This window comes from Homo sapiens, chromosome 1 (genome assembly GCF_000001405.40).
Source record: "Homo sapiens chromosome 1, GRCh38.p14 Primary Assembly".
NCBI lineage: Eukaryota > Metazoa > Chordata > Mammalia > Primates > Hominidae > Homo > Homo sapiens.
Window position 1 is genome coordinate 228,547,760 of NC_000001.11, and position 3,120 is coordinate 228,550,879.

The window sequence follows — 3,120 nt, forward strand, 5'->3', positions numbered from 1 at the left end:
CTGAGATTGCTCAGCTCATGTGTCTCATTATCATTATCATTATCATTATCATTATCATTATCATTATCATTATCATTAAAAGGCCTGGTGTCTGAAAGGGGTCTCTCCCATTAGAATGCTTGGGGTCACCCAGGTGTCTCTATAATTAAAATGCCTGTTGTCAGCCTAGAGTCTCTCCCATTAAGTGCCTGGGGTCTCCCAGGAATGTCTCCCATTAAAATGCCTGGGGTTGCCCAGATGACTCTATCATTAGAATGCCTGGGATTTTCCAACAGTCTCTATCATTAGAATGCCTTGGGTTGGCCAGCAGTCTCTCTTATTGGAATGCGGGTTCGCCCAGATGTCTCTATTATTAAAATGTTTGGGGCTCACCAGGAGTATCTTCCTTTAGAATGCTTTGAATCATCCAGGTTTCTCTATCATTAGAATACCTAAGGTTGGCCAGGAGTCTCAGGAGTCTCTCCCATTAGAATGCCTTGGGTCTCCCAGGTATCTATCATTACAATGCCTACAGTCGGCCAGGAGCCTCTCTTATTAGAATGCCTGGGGTCACCCGGTGTCTTTATCATGACAATGCCTGGGGTCAGCTAGAAGTCTTTATTATTAGAATGCCTGGGGTCAGCCAGGAGTCTCTCCCATTAGAATGATGGAGTACACCCAGGTTTTTCTATCATTAGAATTTTGGGGTCAGTCAGGGGTCTGTCCCATTAGAACACCTGGGGTCACCAAGGTGTCCCTATTATTACAATGCCTGGGGTCAGCCAGTAGTCTCTCCCAATAGAATGCTTGGGGTCACACAGGTGTCTCTCTTATTATAATGCCTGGTGTCGCCCAGGTATCTCTCCATTACAATACCTTAGGTCGCCCTGGTGTCTCTAACATTAGAATGTCTGGAGTAGCCCAGGTGTCTCTATCATTAGAATGCTTGGGGTGGGCCAGCAGTCTCTTTCATTAGAATGCCTAAGATCACCGTGTTGTCTCTATTATTACAATGTCTGTGGTCAGGCAGGAGTCTCTCCCTTTAGAAAGCCTGATTTCACCCAGGTGTCTGTATCATTAGAATGACTGGGGTCATCCAGGTGTCTCTATCATTAGAATGCCTTGGGTCAGCCAGGAGTCTCTCTCATTAGAATGCCTGGGGTCACCCAGCTGTCACTATCATTACAATGCCTGGGGTTGGCTGGGAGTCTCTCCCATTAGAATGCATGGCGTTGCCCAGGTGTCTTTATCATTACAATGCCTTGAGCCGGCCAGGAGTCTCTTCCATTAGAGTGCCTGGGGTTGCCCAGCTGTCTTTATCATTACAATGCCTGGGGTTGGCCAGGAGTCTCTCCCATTAGAATGGCTGTGTTTGCCCAGATATCTCTATTATTAGAATGCTTGGGGTAGGCCAGGAATCTCTTCCATTACAATGACTGAAATTGCCCAAGAGTCCTTATCATTAGAATATCTGGGGTCACTCAGGTGTCTCTATTATTAGAATGCTTGTGTTGACCAGGAGTTTTATCCATTAGAATGCATTGAGTTGCCCAGGTGTCTCTATTATTAGAATGTCTGGGGTCAGCCAAAATCTCTCGTATTAGATTGCCTGAGATCGCCCAGGTGTCTCTATCATTTCAATGCCTACAGTGGGTCAGGAGTGTCTCCCATTAGAATGCCTGAAATTGCCCAGGTGTCTCTATCATTAGAATGCCTGGTATCAGCCTGGAATCTCTCTTTTCAGAATGCCTGAGTACCCTCAGTTTTCTCTATCATTACAATGCCTGGGGATGGGCAGGGATCACTCCCATTAGAATGCCTGGGGTCACCCAGGTGTCTCTATCATTTGAATGCCTAAGGTCGCCCAGGTGTTACTAGCATTAGAATGTATTGGGTCCAACAGGAGTATCTTTCATGAGAATGTCTGGGGTTGTCCATGTGCCTCTGTCATTACAATGCTTTGGGTCGCCCAGGTGTCTCTATCATTAGAATGCCTGTTGTCGGGCAGGAGTCTCTCTCATTAGAATGCCTGGGGTCACCAGGTGTCTCCGTTATTACAATGTCTGGGGTCACCCAAGAGTTTTTCCCATTAGAATTCCTAAGGTCGCCTATGTGGGTCTATCATAGAAATTTTGGGGTCACCCAGGTGTCTCTATCATTAAAATGCCTTTAGTCAGCCAGGAGCCTCTCACATTAGAATGCCTGGGTACCCCCAGGCCTCTCTATCATTAGAATGCCTGGGGTCAGCAAGGAGTCTCTCCAATTAGAATGTGTGGAGTTGCCCAGTTGACTTTATCATTACAATGCCTGAAGTCGACTTTGAGTCTCTCCCGTTAGAATGCCTGGGGTCACCCTGGTGTCTTCATTGTTAGAATGCCTGGAGTTGCCCAGGTGTCTCTGTCATTAGAATGCCTTGGGCTGCCCAAGTGTCCCTATCATTAGAATGCCTGAGTTCAGCCAAAAGTCTCTCTTATTAGAATGTCTGGGGTCACCAGAAGTCTTTATCATTACAATGCCTGCAATAAGCCAAATATCTTTCCTATTAAAAATGCCTGAGGTCACCCAGCTGTCTTTATCATTAGAATGCCTGGAGTAAACCAGGTGTCTCTATCATTACAATGCCTGCAGTCAGCCAGGAGTCTCTCCCATTAGAATGCCTGGAGTCTCCCAGGTGTCTTTATCATTAGAATGCCTGGAGTCACCTAAGTGTCTCTATCATTAGATAGCCTGAAGTCACCCAGTTGTCTTTTTCATTGCAATGCCTGGGGTCGGCCAGCTGTCTCTCCCCATTAGAATCCCTGAGTTCACCCCAGGTGTGTCTATTATCACAGTGCTTGGGGTCAGCCAGGAGTCTCTCCCATTAGAATGCCTGGATCACCCATTTGTCTCTATCATTACAATACTGGGGGTTGGCCAGCTGTCTCTCTTATTAGAATGCCTGGGGTCACTCAGGTGTGTCTATCATTACAATGCCTGGGGTCGATCAGGAGTCTTACCCATTAGAATGCCTGGATCACCTAGGTGTCCCCATCATTACAATGCCTGGGAAGGCCAGGAATCTCTCTTATTAAAATGCCTGGGGTCACCCAGCTGTCTCTATCCTGAAAATGCCTGAGGTCATCCAGGACTTTCTCCCATTAA

General features: G+C 46.7%; 1 annotated feature.

The window, feature by feature from the left end:
• Positions 893-1,562: an enhancer, noted in NCBI's record as "OCT4-NANOG hESC enhancer chr1:228736353-228737022 (GRCh37/hg19 assembly coordinates)". NCBI's record gives its function as "activates a minimal SCP1, AML or CMV promoter by ChIP-STARR-seq in primed H9 embryonic stem cells {active_cell/tissue: H9 hESC(primed)}" and the evidence as "EXISTENCE:reporter gene assay evidence [ECO:0000049][PMID:30033119]".